The sequence below is a fragment of the Homo sapiens genome, chromosome 3 (genome assembly GCF_000001405.40).
Source record: "Homo sapiens chromosome 3, GRCh38.p14 Primary Assembly".
NCBI classification, from domain to species: Eukaryota; Metazoa; Chordata; class Mammalia; order Primates; family Hominidae; genus Homo; species Homo sapiens.
In genome coordinates, this window is record NC_000003.12 from 19,944,879 (window position 1) to 19,960,769 (window position 15,891).

Sequence of the window (15,891 nt, forward strand, 5' to 3'; positions counted from 1 at the left end):
ATGATGAATAACTGATGGTCACAGCCCTTAAAAACCTTATAATTCAATGAAAGGCTAAGGAGAAAAGTCCAGGTGCTCATTAGCTATTAAAATAAGGCAGATTTTAAGACAGCCATTATACAGAGTAAGGCAAAGTATTGTGAAATTACAGAAAAAATAATAATTGAATCCAGTAGAAGTATCTGCAGATGCGGTCCAAAGGAACTGGTGTCCTGGCTAAGACGGAGCCAGCAGTTATGGGCAATGATAGTGTTCCATGTGGAGAAAATAAAGTGATCAGATACCAAGATGGCAACACACAGGCAATATTCAGGGAACACAGACCAGATACGTGTGATCAGGGAACAAATAAAGAGTATGGGGAGAGGAATTCTATAGAAATAGAATGAAAGAAACTTGGGTTGGGACTAGAGTTAAAGAACTTTAGACTGTCAAGTAATGACATAGCATTGAACATTTTTTAGTAGAGTGGCTAAAATGTAAAGAATGGACAGAAAGAACAGCAGTATGCATTAATTTCAGTTTATATAAACACTACCATGGACCAGGTGTTGGGATTAGACTTCAAATTTGGGGATTAGATAATTTGTTGATAGAATGGACAATGGTTTGTGAGGAGAAGAAAGAGGTGAAGCTGATTCTGCAGTTCCAAGTCTGGGTGACTGGGAGGATGTTAATGCCAGTCTCTAAGCAGAAGCAGGTTTGGAGTGGAATAGGTTTCGTTTTGGGCATACTGTTGACATGACAAAACTGATGTCACATATCCTATTTCCTGACTCCTCCTGGGATTGTCCCAGAGCTATTACCATGATTAATAGTTCATATTGAACAACTCCTTGAGAATAAAATGCCACAGGTATCATTTACGTATGACACATTACGTTCTTCTGGCAACTAGGTAGTTGATCTGAAAGACGGGCTGTTCAAAGTTCAAATCATCTTAATTGCACAATGCCGCCGACTGTACGCCCATAAGATACCTTAACCCGGTACACTTCAAAGACAATATTCTCGCCCTTACAACAGAGCTATACATTGTAAACTGCAAACTGAAAAGTAGCCTTTATTCTGAAGGAAAATCAATTTAATATTCTTCCACTAAATTATCAAAACAATTTTTTTGGCGGAGGCTGGGGAGGGGGTGGTGGCTGAAGCCTCGCCAGAGACTGAATGTGGTGTGGGATTCAACTAAAGCAGCACATCTTCAGTAGGTCCCCCGTGGAGGGTAACGAACATCTTGGGTTGTCTTTCACCAGAATTGTGTTCAACAACTCACGTTCTGGAGCCAACCCGCCGCAGATCAGAATCCAGCTTCTGCACCACACAGCCGTGATCTCGGACAAGTTACTCAATCTCTTGTGTCTCAAATTCTTTACCTATAAAACATCTACAACTAGAACTGAAGACTTGGCTGCCAGGCACTGGGCTAGACATAGATTTACAGCGGTGAGGACCACCAAGGGGAGCTAAAATTCGAATGTAGGGAACAGACGATTAACAAGTTAGTTTCAGAATGAAAGACTCGAGTGTAAGAATTCAATGGGATAATTCCTGTAAAGCGTTTAGTACAGTAAAGAGCGAAGGGAAATTCTGAATAAAAGGCAGACACTATTTTAGGATTTGGCCTTCCCCGCCCCCTACCAAAACCACGTAAACTCTTAACAGAAGCGACTTCTTATTGTCAGGCGCCTAAAGGCGGCTTTTGGGATAGGGAGGGTCCTTTCTTCCTCCTTGGGGTAAATGCGATTTAGCAGCCTTTACCGACCTACCCAACCCCAGGGCCATTTTGTGGGAGGAGGTTCTCTCGTGCTAGACAAGTTCCCTCTAATAAAGCCCCTTAGCCGAGATGCCAGGATTGGGGTTAGGGAACCTCGCCGCTCCCACAAGGGCTGGGCACAAAAAACAAACAAAAAAACACAAGTTATTTTGATCTTCCCCCAAAGAATAGTAAAGGAATTTCCCCCGACCCCGGCCGCCAGGAGCCCAGAGACCCCCCAGCCTAAATAACAATGGCGCTGGAGAGGGCGTGGCCGCGCGTACCTGGGGTGGGGGAAGGGGAGAAAGGCGGCCAGTTCGGATCTGAGCCACTCGCAGGGTCACGTGACATCCTGCCTCGCCCCGCCCCGCGAACAAACCTAGGCGGGGAGGGATTCGGGAAGGGGCGAGGAAGCGGAAGGAGCAGGCGGACTGGCGATGATGGGAAGTGACGAAGTGGCGCAGTTCGCTGCGTGCAGCGACGTGGCGGCGGGGCCGGCACCGGGCAGCGGAAGTGGCTCCGGCGGTGGGACTTGAGTGTTTGTGTTTTGGTTCGTGAAGGAGCCGGCGGCTGGCCTTAGGGGAGGAGGCAGAGGGAGGAGGAGGAGGAAGAATTAGTCGGAACTCCAGCGCCGGCGGCGGCGGCGGCGGCGGAGGAGGAGAAAGGAAAGAGGAAGGGGGAGCGGCGAGAGGCGGAGACGGAGCCCGACAGGGGCGGCACCACGGCACGAGCCCCGCACAGTCCAGTGTGAGGGGAGCGGCGCTAAGAGCAGGCGACGCCGCCGCCGCCACCACCACCGCCATAGATACACTCTCATCCTACGGGCCACGCCTGGGCCTTGCTGCCAGGAAGCTTCGGCCCCGCAGCTCGGCTTGCTGCGGTCTCAGGTAACCGAACCGCCCCTCCTCCTGCGCAGCGGGGGCCTGGACCCCAGGTTATCCGCGGTCCCCAGCCTGTCCGCGGCCCTGCCGGTACTGAGACCCCCCACCCCTTCTCCCTCACGCGCAGCAGTGCCCTGGACCAGAGAACTATCGAACCCGGCGTCTTGTTCTGCCAGCCCTGGTGACTCATCCTCCAGGGGCTCTGGAGACCGGGATTTGGGGACTGACTGAGGGAGCGACGGGTGTCACCCTTTCCCTTCTCAAGATGGCGCCGTGGAAAGTGTACTGGAGGCCGCGGTTCCGCCTGGTCTCCGTCCTGGCAGTCCTGGGGGTCTCGGTCAAAGCAAGGCAGGTTCGGGGGAGGAGGTTGGAAAGGCCAAGGGACCTGGCGAGTGCTGCTTATCCAGGCGATCTGTAGTTGGCTATTAGCTACTCAGGTGCTCTCCAAGCAGGAACCTGGGCCTACTGCAGGTGTCAATGTGGGGAGCTCCGCCTATCTTCAACTTCCAAAGATGAGTAGTGTCGGTGGGTGGGAGGCTCGTCAAAATAGGCTGTCTAGAGACTTGTTTTCTGTTTGGAAGGTAGTGAACTACAGCGTTAAATAAATTCAAGATAACAGGACCGCTGAACTCCTTCACTGGGTAGAGACCATGGAACTTGCTCTGGCGTTATCTTCCCTGGAAGCTGCTTACCTCTGAGACTTTCAAACTTGTTAAGTTCTGAACGTCATAGTTCACATACTTGGTTTTTGTCTTGCTTAAATGGAATCAAAGCGTTCAATCAGTTGCCTTTCACATAATAAGAAAAAAACACTTGTACACCTCTGGGAATACTCAAGACTGCTCATAAACTTTATTCCTAAAGTAAAATGGAAGTGATAACTCAGCATTTGTATAAACAAAGTAAATGGAACAGTGCCTGGCACAAAATAAGTGCCCAGTCAATTTTTTGATCAAAGAACCCTTAGAAGGATTTTAACTATAGAATGAATAACAGTTATTTTCAAAAGATTACAAATGTATATTATGCAAAATTCTTGTTTTGCAAAACAGAAGTTTCAGTAAGCAGTGAATACAAATGAATGCACGTAATTTTTAACCTTAGTGTTATGCTAAGTGTATATTTACCATTAACTTTAGTTATTTCCTGTTTGAGATCCTTAGGGGGAGTAGCCACAATTAAGTAGCTTTAAACCTTAAAAGTCAAAGTGAAATCAGAATCTTGTTTGATTTTTTTTTTTAATGGGAGTCTGATATTTTCCCTAAAATTTTGGAAGTGCCGTAGAAATTTGGAGCATATTGTCCTTGATAAGTAATTTCTTGTTTTCTTAAATAAAAAGACAAATGGAAAATGTTTTGATTGTGTGTAATATCTGAAGATGTATTGGTGCATTTTCAGTATATATGATGTTCTATTGATATTTTATCATTTTCTTATCAAAGGAGCACATTATTGGCAATTTCAATCCCTACTATGTATATTAGAGATTGTTTACATGTATTGTTTTATTTAATTGTCACATCAGCTATGCAAGTTAGATATTATGGGAATAGAAACTTGGAAATTAAAGAGTTTGCCCAGACGGAAATTGGTATAGCCAGGATTACACCCCTAAATCTGGTATGTTTGTGGAGGAGGGGGCATTTTTATTTATACCTTGTTATTTGGAAGCAACTCAGATATTACGTCAATAAATCTGTAAATATTTCAGTATGTAATGGTAAAAGATAAGGACTCTAAAAAGCTGGTGTTTAGTTAAGGCAAGGAGGTAGTTTCATTGCCTTAAGAACTAAGATCTCGTGGACATGTTAGGGAATTCATTATGAAGAGCGTATTATAAGCTCATTTTATGGGAAAGGCATATTTCTTTCTTTTGTTTTTAATATAGAGACAGGGTCTCACTGTGTTGCCCAGGCTGGTCTCAGAGTCCTCCTGCCTCACCCCCAAAGTGTTGGGATTTACCGGTATAAGCCACTCTGTCCAGTGTGAAAGACGTATTTCTTATATGAGGTAGCTAAATGAAATATAGCAGGGTTTTTAGAGAGGGAATCATCAGGTTTAATATATTAGCATGTATTCGGATTTTGATTAAAGATAGAAGGAAACTGTTAAGATTGGTTTGTGAGTGGATTGAAAAAGGTTCTTCAAATATTCACTAATTCCTTAGAGATTAAAAATTAGCATAGAAGTCGCCATTCAGGCTAGATTTCTTTAATGTGTTGTTTAAATAAAAAATAATGGCCTGCAGGCTGGGCGTGGTGGCTCACACCTGTAATCCCAGCACTTTGCGAGGCTGAGGCAGGAGGATTGCTTGAGCCCGAGAGTTCAGGATCATCCTGGGCAACATAGCAGTTAAGTGTCTCTACCAAAAAATTAGCCTGGCATGGTTCTGAGCGCCTGTAGTCTCAGCTACTCAGGAGGTTGAGGCAGGAGGATTGCTTGAGCCCAGGAGGTCTAGGTTGCAGTGAGCTGTGACCACGCCACTGCACTCCAGCCTGGGTGAGAGAGCAAAACCCTTTCTCCAAAAAAATTTTTTTAAAAATGGCATGTATATTGTTCGTCTAAAGACTACAAAAAAGTTACAATTATTGTAAGTAAATAAGTCAGTAATAATCACCACATGGAGAACAACTGTTAGCATTTCTGTGTATGGTGTGCTTGAGCAGATGAGGAAACAGTTTTAAGTCTGCCGTTAGGCACACAAACCTGGGAGACTGAAAATATTTGTTGTCCAAAATTACCATTAATTAAATGAAAAATGCATCGTTTAACAGAAAACTTCAAATAATACTAAATTTTAGGATCTGTTCTAAAAGTTTCCCATTTATTAATAACATAATTTTTCTCAAAACAATGTTAATCCAAGTAGCCTGGCTACAGAACTTGAACTCGAGTCATCTCTCAGGTTGCCTGGGTTTGAAACTCGGCTCTGTCACTTCTGTGACAATAACTGTGTGACCTCAATTAAGCTTCTTAACATCTCTGTGCTTGTTTCCTCATTTATAAGGATTGTAATAATATCTCATTTTATAGGATTGTTGAGAAGTTAAGTACTTAAAGCACTGCCTGGCACAAACTTGAAGCTTTGAGGTTAGCCTTTAAAAAAAAAAGTAATTTTGGACTCACATCCTATACCTTTGAATTTCCTTTAAAAGATAGTGACATAATCTAAAGGGCATTGAAGGTCTAGTAGAGTTTAAGATAATCATGCTATAGGCAATATTTAAAGTGATTAATAGTAAATTTGCTTTACTGATTTGTATATTTAATTCATAATTGTTTCTTTACAGGTTTCTTTACCTCCAGAAAGAAGAATATTGGCCCCTTGAATTCTGGAAGTTCATTGAAGAGTCTGAAATTAGGGACTTATTTCAAATTTGGACATGGCTAGTCGAGGCGCAACAAGACCCAACGGGCCAAATACGGGAAATAAAATATGCCAGTTCAAACTAGTACTTCTGGGAGAGTCCGCTGTTGGCAAATCAAGCCTAGTGCTTCGTTTTGTGAAAGGCCAATTTCATGAATTTCAAGAGAGTACCATTGGGGGTGAGATTTTCTTTTTTCCCTGCTTCATTTAATCGAATCATACATTGACAGAAAATATTTTGATGTTCCAATTGTGTGATTATGAATAGCTAAATAAGTCATAGAGTGAAGAAAAGAGCTGTTCAGCTTACCTTAGCTTTAAAACTTGCCTTTATCTTTGTTAAAATGATGTGTTTTTATATTTGATTGTTTGGTTAATCCCTTGTGGTTATATTGTAGCTAAAATACAGATAAAAAACATGAGTAGAATCAGTGTCTCAAGTAATAACATTTGACCTGATACCTATTTCTAGCTAACAACTAGAAGCTTCTTCAAATTAATACAGTACATGTTTGTGCTCAATTATATTGGTTTAAAATGAATAGTAAAAAAGGTAACCTTAAATTCTGATCTATATAACTGAAGTATTTGCAAATAATTATACTTACTTGTAAAATTAAATGTAATTAAATACTGCTAGATGTACTTTTTTTTGGTATTTAAGAGATGGGATCTTGCTGTCGCCTAGGCTGGAGTGCAGTGTCCGGATCATAGCTCACTGCAGACTGCAGCCTGAAACTCTAGGCTCAAATGATCTTCTTGCCTTAGCCTCCCACCAAGTAGTTGGACCTAAGGGTGCATGCCACCATGCCAGGCAAGTTTTTTTTTTTTTTTTTTAAGAGTCAGAGTCTCGCTGTGTTTCCAGGTTGGTCTTGAACTCCTGGCCTCAAGTGAGCCTCCAGCCTCAACCTCCCAGGTAGCTGTGATTACAGGTGCTCCCTGCTGAGATGCATATGTAAGAATGCTCCTAAGCTGAGGGAAGAGAAAAAGTGATTAATGGAAAGGGACATAACAGGAAAATGGAACCTGAAGAAAAAGATGAAAGAAGAAGGGAAAGAGTAGGCACTGACAAGGGTGGTTATGGTGGGACAGAGATGAGGGGAAGGTAAGATGCAGGGTGAAAAGGAGACAACAAACAGTACAGTATTGTCAAGAGAGGACGTGAAATGGGAAAATTGAATTTTAGCTGGACATGGTGGTGCATTCCTGTAGTCCCAGGTATTTGGAGGCTGAGGCAGGATTATTTTAGCTTGGGAGTTCAAGTCTAGCCTGGGCAACATAATGAGAACCCATCTCTTAAAAAAAATTGACTTTAATCAAAGAAACCTATAATTATATAGCAGTGGGACAAGATAGCCTCTTTTGGGCCTCTGTTTCATCTGTGAAATGATGCTTTTCAATTAGATGATGTGTGGCAAGAGCCACACGGTTTGAGATTCACAATATTTTGCAAGTGATATATAATTAAGCAATGCTGTTTTCTAAGGTATTCATGTATATATTTTAACCCCATCCTGTAAAATTAAAGTCAAACTTTGGAAATAAGACAGGTAGATACCAACTGGCATGTGGCAACTTCTTGGAATCTGTCTTTCAGAAGCAAAACTTTATACTGTGCATTTAGTGAATGCTCTTCTGCAAATATACTTGAGAATGTTATTCATAATCTTAGACCCATTCTAGTAAGATAAGTTACAGAAGTCTACTACCTCCTGGCCTTTGTATATCTTGTTAAAATGTTATATTAGAATGTTTTATGTTTTTTCTAATGGCTGAGCATCAGAAAGCATCATGGAGCTTTTATTTTGAGTCAGAAGTCTTGGCATTTTAAAAAATGTTAATACACAATATATTAGACATCTTTGTGATTTTTTTTTTCCCTGAAAGTACATCCACGTGTGATTTTGTTGTTGTTGTTGTTATTGTTAATACATTATATCCAGTTTAATAATGAAATACTACTTCTCAAGAAGGCTTTGCTTCCTCCAGAAGTGATTTGGTCAAAGCTAACTGTCCCATCTAGTAGGAAAAGTTTAAAGACTGCTAGATCATGTCCACCCACTTATTTCACTGTTAATGGAAGCATTTCCCAAAGTATATGTGCATTCTGGGTTAAATAACCTGGGCCACGTAGGTTTGGGACTTACTATATGCTACTCTTCTCCTCTCTCTTTATTATTTTATTAAAACAATAAAAACTCTGAAGTACTGTAGTATAGGACTTAATTCCTGGGGAGCTTTGCAAGAGCTTAAGATTAGAATTTTTATCTTGTTTTGGATAATGCACTTCTAAGTTTATTTTTTCCTAATGATAGCTCAAGAAGGATGTTTAAAAGAAAAATGTAACCCCATATCCTGTGTATCATAAATATATCTCTGATATGTGTGTATCTCTATATAATCTCCATGTAACACCAGTTAGATTGTCTAGATTTCATTAATGAATTTTTCATAAAGATTTTCATTTCTATGTGTAGAGCTTCCTGTTTAAAAACAAAAAGGAATTTGCATCCAAATTTCTGTTAATCCTTTTTTTTTTTTTTTTTGGAGACAAGGTCTCTGTCGCCCAGGCTGGAGTGCAGTGGTGTAGCCCTGGCTCACTGCAACCTCCGCTTCCCAGGATCAAGCAATTCTCATGCCTCAGCCCCCCAAGTAGCTGGGACTACAGGCGCAAGCCACCACTCCTGGCCAATTTTTGTATTTTTAGTAGAGATGGGGTTTCACCATGTCGGTCGGGTTGGTCTTGAACTCCTGGCCTCAAGTGATCTGCCTACCTCGGGCTCTCCAAGTGCTGGGATTACAGGCATGAGCCACTGCCCCTGGCCCAACTTTCTGTTAATCTTTATTGGATACTTTTTCACTGTGCTGACCCCATGTGAATACTATTCAGGAGGTATGACAGTACCATTATGGTTATAGCTGTGGACACTATTCTTTTATGCTCTGTACTCATAGCTCTTCACCTTTAGGAACTAGAGTAGATGTAAAGCATTTAAGAATTTTAAGGTTTGAGCTATTTCATGATCAACCTGAAAGGGCCATAACTTGTAGGTAATACGTATTTTTGTTTTGACTGTCATGTGGTAGAAGTTACCTGAAAAATGAAGCCAACCAACTCTTTTGCATTTCAACTGTTGGTTTATTTTTTTTGAGACGGAATTTCACTACGTGGCCCAGGTTGGAGTGCAGTGGTGTGATCTAGGTTGACTGCAACCTCTACTTCCCAGGTTCAGGCAGTTCTCCTGCCTCAGCCTCCTGAGTAGCTGGGATTACAGGCCCACACCACCAATCCCAGTGAACTTTTGTATTTTTAGTAGAGACAGGGTTTTGCCATCTTGGCCAGGCTGGTCTCAGACTCCTGACCTCAAGTGATCCACCTGCCTCGGCCTCCCAAAGTGCTGGAATTATAGGCGTGAACCTCCACGCCTGGCCTCAACTGTTTAATTTTTCACTTTACTGTTTATATCTCCTAACATGAGTTATTGTTCTGAAGCACTCAAAATTTTAATCTCTATTTGATTGTGTTCGAAGGTGGATATCATATGTTACACTCTTGATTTGTGGATTCTGGATTCATTAAGAATATCAAGATTTCTTCTGTAATTTGTGTGGTTCTTCCTAAATACAATAACTTGATTTACGAATTCCTGTTGCGCTGTGTGCGGTGGCTTGCATCTGTAATCCCAGCACTTTGGGAAGCTGAGGTGGGCAGATCGCTTGAGTCCAGGAGTTTGAGACCAGCCTGGCCAACATAGCAAAACCCCGTCTTTACAAAAAATACGAAAATTAACCGGGCATGGTGGCACACACCTGTAGTCCCAGCTACTGAGAAGGCTGAAATGGGAGAATTGCTTGAACTGAAGAGGCGGAGGTTACAGTGAGCCGAGACTGCACCACCACACTCCAGCCTGGGTGACAGTGAGAACCCTGTCTCAAAAACAAAACAAAACAAAGAATCCCTGTTGCCTCACCATACTTCATGCATCCTACCCCTATAGCACTTCTGATGAAATTGCGTGCCGTAGATTTAGCAATTTAGAGAATTCTAGCTTGTTTGTATGGGTTTAAAGTTTGCATGACATTTATGTTTCTATTGTTGGTCTAAAGTTAGCCCAGAGATTAGCAGGGAGCAGTAGGCTCAGAGAGTTGTCTTCCTTCTTTACTTGGTACTGCATCTCTAGGCTTGGTAGCTCTTCAGTAAATACTCTCAAAAAATACTTATTTTTAAGAAGACATTTATGTGATATTTATAAACAAATTAATCCTCAGTGGTTAGAATATGCAGTGAAATAGCAAGCAGACAATCCTTTTTTTCTCTTCTGAGAAAAGTGCTTCATACCACAGTTACAATTTTGTATGCACTAATCAAAAAATGTGTTATAAACTCTAAAGTTTAGATGATGGAACTGTACATGAAAATAACATTCCTCTTGCTGGTTCTGTGATTTTTGTACATTAGCTTAGAACAGTGGTCCTCAAAGAGCGTTCCCACTTCCAGAAGTAGCTGCATTAACTAGGAACTTGTTAAAATGTAGAATCCCGTGTTGAATCAAAACATTTGGGTGGGACCAACAATCTAGGTTTTAATAAGTTTTCCAGATGATTCTAATGGCATGTTACGTTTGAGTAGTTGATTTTACATTGGTACTAACATTGATTCACCCATACATGGAATAATTGGGGGGTTTTTTTGAGGTGTGGTGTTTGTCAGATTTTTAAAAACATTGTTGACTGGGCGCGGTAGCTCATACCTGTAATCCCAACACTTTGGGAGGCTGAGGCGGGCGGATCACGAGGTCAGGAGTTCGAGACCAGCTTGCCAATGTGATGAAACCCTGTCTCTGCTAAAAATACAAAAATTAGCCAGGCATGGTGGCGTGCGCCTGTAGTCCCAGCTACTTGGGAGGCTGAGGCAGGAGATTCGCTTGAACCCAGGAGGCGGAGGAGGTTGTTGCAATGAGCCGAGATCATGCCATTGCACTCCAGCCTGGGTGTCTCAGCGAGACTCCGTCTTAAAAAAAAAATTGTTCATGCAACTAACCTAGTTTGAGAATTACATGTATTATGTACTGCTCACATTACATGTTATCTGTATCTCTTTATAGGAGAATGCCTTCCTGTTAGCCACCTGCCAGACATCTTTAGGAAAGTATGATCCCTCTGTCCAATCAAGAGTATTCTGCTTTTTCTCTACTTAGGGAGTACCCATAGTTTTCAGTCATCTGTACCACTGCTGCTCTCCTTTCTTGTCACAAATGATCAAGGCCTGATAATACACAAAATTAATTAAGAAATTTAGTGTAGGCCGGGCGCAGTGGCTCATGCCTGTAATCCCAGCACTTTGGGAGGGTGCCAGCACACTGGCAGATCACGAGGTCAGGAGTTCGAGACCAGCCTGGCCAACATGGTAAAAATACCAGAATTAGCTAGGCGTGGTGGTGGGTGCCTATAACCCCAGCTACTCAGGATGCTGAGGCAGGAGAAACATTTGAACCCAGGAAGCGGAGGTTGCAGTGAGCCGAGATCGCGCCATTGCACTCCAGCCTGGGCGACAGGGCGAGACTCCGTCTCAAAAAAAAGGAAATTTAGTGCAATTATTAACTCTTAAGTGAAGTGCTGTTTCTACTTACATATTTAACATCCATCTAAATTGGTTAGCATGGCCAACTAGTTGTTTTTAGTCTAAAACAACCTGTAACAGGAATAAAAGTTACTGTTAAAATGAAGAAAAACAAGGCTTATTTCAAAGTTATTATTAACATACTATTTTACCTAACAATTTATGGCCAAGTCATTCTAAAGAATAAACTATTGTGGTTAAGAGAGACTGTATCCAGATTGAAGTTTTTACCACAATGCCTGGCACAGTAAAAGGTTTATTAAATTATAGCTATTACAGTTACCATCACCACTGTTAACTTTTGGCTGAATCGTTTTGTCATTGTTGATATTTTTGTTGTTTGGTCATGACATACTATTATCTTGAGATGGTAGCTGTTACACCTAGTGCATAGCGTTTGATTTAGAAAATTTGAAGATTTGAAAAATTTTGTGTTTTTTTTCCTTTTTTTTTTTTTTTTTAAACAGCCTGCTCTGTTGCCCAGGCTGGTGTACAGTGGTGGCATCAAAGCTCACTGCAGCCTTGACGTGGCCTCAAGTGGTCCTCCCAGGTAGCTGGGACTGACTATAGGCATGCACCCCACACTTGGCTAATTTTTTATTTTTTTGTAGGGACAGATCTCACTGTTGGTGCCTAAGCTGGTCTCAAACTCCTGGGCTACAGCAGTCCTCCCACCTCAGCCTCCCAAGGTGCTGGGATGAAAGGTGTAAGCCACTGTGCCCAGCCCAACTGTGTTATTTGTGGAAGTTTCTCAGAGGGAGAAATTACAGGGCTAAAGTACTACACGTGTGCATATATTAAAGTTTTTTCCAGTAACTACTTAATAATGTGTACTTGAAAACTGCTAAATTCTTAAATGTCCTCACCATTAAAAAATAGTAAGTGCCGGGTGCATGGCTCATGCCTGTAATCCCAACACTTTGGGAGGCCAAAGTGGTCAGATCGCTTGAGACCAGCCTGGCCAACATGGCCAAACCCCATCCTTACTAAAAAAAAAAAAAAAAGCAAACATTAGCTGGGCGTGGTCGCGCATGCCTGTAATTCCAGCTACTCGGGAGGCTGAGGCATGAGTATTGCTTGAACCTGGGAGGCAGAGGTTGCAGTGAGCCCAGATAGCGCCACTGCATTCCAGCCTGAGCAACAGAGTGAGACTCTGTCGCGGAGGTTGCAGTGAGCTGAGATAGCACCACTGCACTCCAGCCTGAGCAACAGAGTGAGACTCTGTCTCAAAAAAAAAAAAAAAGGTAAGTAGGCGAGGTGATCAATATTGAATTACCTTGATTTAGTCACCTCACAATGTGTACATGTATCAAAACATCATGTTAATATACATATGTATATATTGTAAATACATAACGATTTTTATTTTTCAACAATACCTTAATAAAGCTGGGGGGAATAAAGTTACTTCCTAAACAGAAAAGCTAGCCAGAAAATTTAAATCCAAATAACTCATGTTTTTCCAGTAGTAGAAAGCTTTCTACAATTGCCCTTCACTTGTTAGCCTTCAGAATGACTTCTTTGTATAATTATAATCTGTGCATTTATTTAATGTGCTTTTACCTTTTTGCATGTGCACATTGTTAAAAGTGCTTTTGAGAAAGGATAGAAGACCTAGAGACCAAACCACCAGCATGTGGTTTTTGATTCGTGAGAAAAATTGTGTGTTTGAAGTATTCATTCTACTTTCTGATACATTGATAGTTAAAATTTGTGGAAGTTAATCATTTGGTTTCAAGCAAAATAATAATATCTTTGTTCATCATATTTTCTCCTAAAAAGTACATATTCAGAATTTGAGAGGTTGTTACCCAGAGAAGTTGGTAGAGATTTGATATTTCAAATTTATATCACAACCTAAAAAAATCTTTCGGTAGTCTTAATTATTCCCCAATTTCTTAGGTTAAAATATTATCATATGTGGCTACTTAAACATTCCCGTGAGCTGGGAGTCAGTATGCATGGTTCTAATCCTCACATGCTTTCATAAGCATTTATGTGAACTCTGTTTACACATTTGTAACACGAGAGTATTGAACTCTAGGTAAGGATTCTTGTAGGCCAGGTGTGGTGGCTCACGCCTGTAATCCCAACACTTTGGAAGGCCGAGGCAGGCATATCACCTGAGGTCAGGAGTTCGAAACCAGCCTGACCAACATGGCAAAACACTGTCTCTACTAAAAATACAAAAACTAGTGGGGCGTGGTGTCATGTGCCTGTAATCCCAGCTATTGAGGCATTAGAATTGCTTCAACCTGGGAGGCAGAGGTTGCAGTGAGCTGAGATCACACCACTGCACTTCAACCTGGGTGACAGGGCGCTGAGGTAGGGGAGACTGAGACATGAGAATTGCTTCAACCTGGGAGGCGGAGGTTGCAGTGAGCTGAGATCGCACCACTGCACTTCAACCTGGGTGACAGAGCGAGACTCTGTCTCAAAAAAAGAAAAAAGGATTCTTGTAGAGCAGATGTTCTTATAAACTGTGTACTCTTCTCATTAAACAATACAGTCAATACAATTTAACTTTTGTTTTCTTAAAATGTATTTCAAGATTTGGAATCATTATGAGCATCAGTTTTTGCCTTGCCGTGCTTAATGTGTTGATGTCCTCTGGTGCTTTGGAAGTATTCAAGCTGTTTGGTAGAATGATTTTGCCAAATAGCTCTTAGTGAACTGCTACTGATTCACTAATTTACTGCTTTTATTTGTTATATATGGGAAATATTAGGTTGTCTAAAGCAAATCAAAATAAAACCAGAAATCATCTCTGATGATTCTAAAACTAGAAATCAGGGACAACTTCTTGGTATAGTTTGAGAGACAGATTGAGTGAACATTGTAATCTGGTGCTATATATTAAAGGTTTTTAAAAGTGATATTATATGCCACTTTTTAAAAATTAAGCCTAAATCTCCAACTGATCTTCTTGTTATGTACTAATTTATATATATATATATGTATGTATATATAAATCAATCTCCAAAAGAAGATATACATAGAAAGTGGTCTCAGTTACATTCCGAGGAAATCTGTAAATTTGCATAACCTTTAGTGCATGGACTTTGTGAGATTTATTCTGGCTGCATTTACTCTTCTTTTGCTAGCTTTCTGGTTGTGTTCTGATTTTTTTTTTTTTTTTTTTTGAGGCAGGGTCTTGCTCTGTTGCCCAGGGTGAAGTGCAATGATGTGATCATGGCTCTCTGCAGCCTCAGCCTCTTGGGTCAAGCAGTCGTCTCACCTCAGCCTCCCAAGTAGCTGGGACTACAGGTGTGCACCACCATGCCTGGCTAATTTTGAAATTTTTGTAGAGGCGACGTCTTGCTGTGTTGCCCAAGCAGGTCTTAAAACTCCTGACCTCAAGTGATCTCCTGGCTTGGCCTCCCAAAGTGCTGAGATATAGCCATGAGCCACCGCGCTAGGCTGTGTTCTGAATATATAAGGTTTCCAGATAATTGATCTTTTTGGAGACACACTCAGAGGCACATGAAAGACACTTGGTTTTGAATAATAATTGGTGGAGGCTGTGGGATGGGAAGTGTTTTAAAATTTTGCTTTTAGAATAGAATAAGAATTCTTACTTGATAGAAACATGGGAAATTTTGGCAAACTGTTTCTCCCTTTTTTAGGTCATATACCATAATAACCTGACATTGCATATACATAATCTTGTTTATGAAGTATGCTGAGTAAATTTATGATAGGATAGTATCATTTGGAGTTACATCAAAAGCCTTTTCAGCAAACCTCTTTGTGAAGGAGAATAAAGATGTGTGAGAGTAAGAAAAGCAATAAGAGTACTTCTAAAGGTTTTTGTTTTTGAGATGGGGTCTCGCTCTGTGCTAGACTGGAGTGCAGTGGCATGATCATGGCTCACTGCAGCCTCAACTTCTGGGCTCCAGCCATCTTCCCACCTCAGCCTCCTGAGTAGCTGAGACCACAGGCATGTGTGCCCCTGCCCCCGGCTAATTTTGTATTTTTGGTAGAGATGGCTATTCTCCATGTTTCCCAGGCTGGTCGCGAACTCCTGAGCTCAAGCAATCAACCTGCCTTAGCCTCCCAAAGTGCTGGGAATACAGGCGTAAGCCACTTTTTCAGGCATCATTTTTTGTCTTTTAATTCATTGGCTACCTTGATGTATATGTAAACTTTAGTTACCTAGTTGCTAAATTCCTCAAGATGAAAGTTAAGTGTTACTGAAGTCATATGTTGGACTTTGAAAATAAGAATGCTCTACAAATCAGAATATCTGAAGTAAGTGTTGCTAAAC

The 15,891-nt window shown here is 41.3% G+C and overlaps 2 protein-coding genes across 4 annotated transcripts in view, besides 7 other annotated features; one reads left to right on the plus strand and one right to left on the minus strand.

The window, feature by feature from the left end:
• EFHB (EF-hand domain family member B) overlaps positions 1 to 2,105 on the minus strand; it is a 67,512-nt gene extending 65,407 nt beyond the window's left edge. Inside the window, exon 1 of the mRNA NM_001330688.2 lies at positions 2,041 to 2,105. The gene's annotated coding sequence lies outside the window, so the exon portion shown is untranslated. The remainder of the gene's footprint in view (positions 1 to 2,040) is intronic.
• Positions 1,100 to 1,701: an enhancer, noted in NCBI's record as "H3K27ac hESC enhancer chr3:19987470-19988071 (GRCh37/hg19 assembly coordinates)". NCBI's record gives its function as "activates a minimal SCP1, AML or CMV promoter by ChIP-STARR-seq in primed H9 embryonic stem cells {active_cell/tissue: H9 hESC(primed)}" and the evidence as "EXISTENCE:reporter gene assay evidence [ECO:0000049][PMID:30033119]".
• Positions 2,112 to 2,281: an enhancer, noted in NCBI's record as "experimental_67714 CRE fragment used in MPRA reporter constructs". NCBI's record gives its function as "activates a minimal promoter by MPRAs in K562 erythroleukemia cells, with activity observed for both the introgressed and non-introgressed 3:19988567 variant alleles {active_cell/tissue: K562}" and the evidence as "EXISTENCE:reporter gene assay evidence [ECO:0000049][PMID:34662402]".
• Positions 2,112 to 2,376: a biological region, named in NCBI's record as "Neanderthal introgressed variant-containing enhancers experimental_67714 and experimental_67716".
• Positions 2,207 to 2,376: an enhancer, noted in NCBI's record as "experimental_67716 CRE fragment used in MPRA reporter constructs". NCBI's record gives its function as "activates a minimal promoter by MPRAs in K562 erythroleukemia cells, with activity observed for both the introgressed and non-introgressed 3:19988662 variant alleles {active_cell/tissue: K562}" and the evidence as "EXISTENCE:reporter gene assay evidence [ECO:0000049][PMID:34662402]".
• RAB5A (RAB5A, member RAS oncogene family) overlaps positions 2,219 to 15,891 on the plus strand; it is a 38,079-nt gene continuing 24,406 nt past the window's right edge. For 2 of the 3 annotated variants that reach the window (NM_004162.5, NM_001292048.2), the window contains exons 1-2: positions 2,219 to 2,643; positions 5,928 to 6,183. In NM_004162.5, coding sequence (NP_004153.2) covers positions 6,021 to 6,183 — 163 coding nt within the window. In that variant the 5' untranslated portion in view covers positions 2,219 to 2,643; positions 5,928 to 6,020. Of the gene's footprint in view, positions 2,644 to 5,927; positions 6,184 to 15,891 lie in introns of those variants that run through there. The other variant, XM_047448648.1, reaches the window with a different exon arrangement.
• Positions 2,238 to 2,287: an enhancer, noted in NCBI's record as "active region_19577". NCBI's record gives its function as "activates an Ori minimal core promoter by ATAC-STARR-seq in GM12878 lymphoblastoid cells {active_cell/tissue: GM12878}" and the evidence as "EXISTENCE:reporter gene assay evidence [ECO:0000049][PMID:35858748]".
• Positions 2,808 to 2,857: an enhancer, noted in NCBI's record as "active region_19578". NCBI's record gives its function as "activates an Ori minimal core promoter by ATAC-STARR-seq in GM12878 lymphoblastoid cells {active_cell/tissue: GM12878}" and the evidence as "EXISTENCE:reporter gene assay evidence [ECO:0000049][PMID:35858748]".
• Positions 2,904 to 3,503: an enhancer, noted in NCBI's record as "NANOG-H3K27ac-H3K4me1 hESC enhancer chr3:19989274-19989873 (GRCh37/hg19 assembly coordinates)". NCBI's record gives its function as "activates a minimal SCP1, AML or CMV promoter by ChIP-STARR-seq in primed H9 embryonic stem cells {active_cell/tissue: H9 hESC(primed)}" and the evidence as "EXISTENCE:reporter gene assay evidence [ECO:0000049][PMID:30033119]".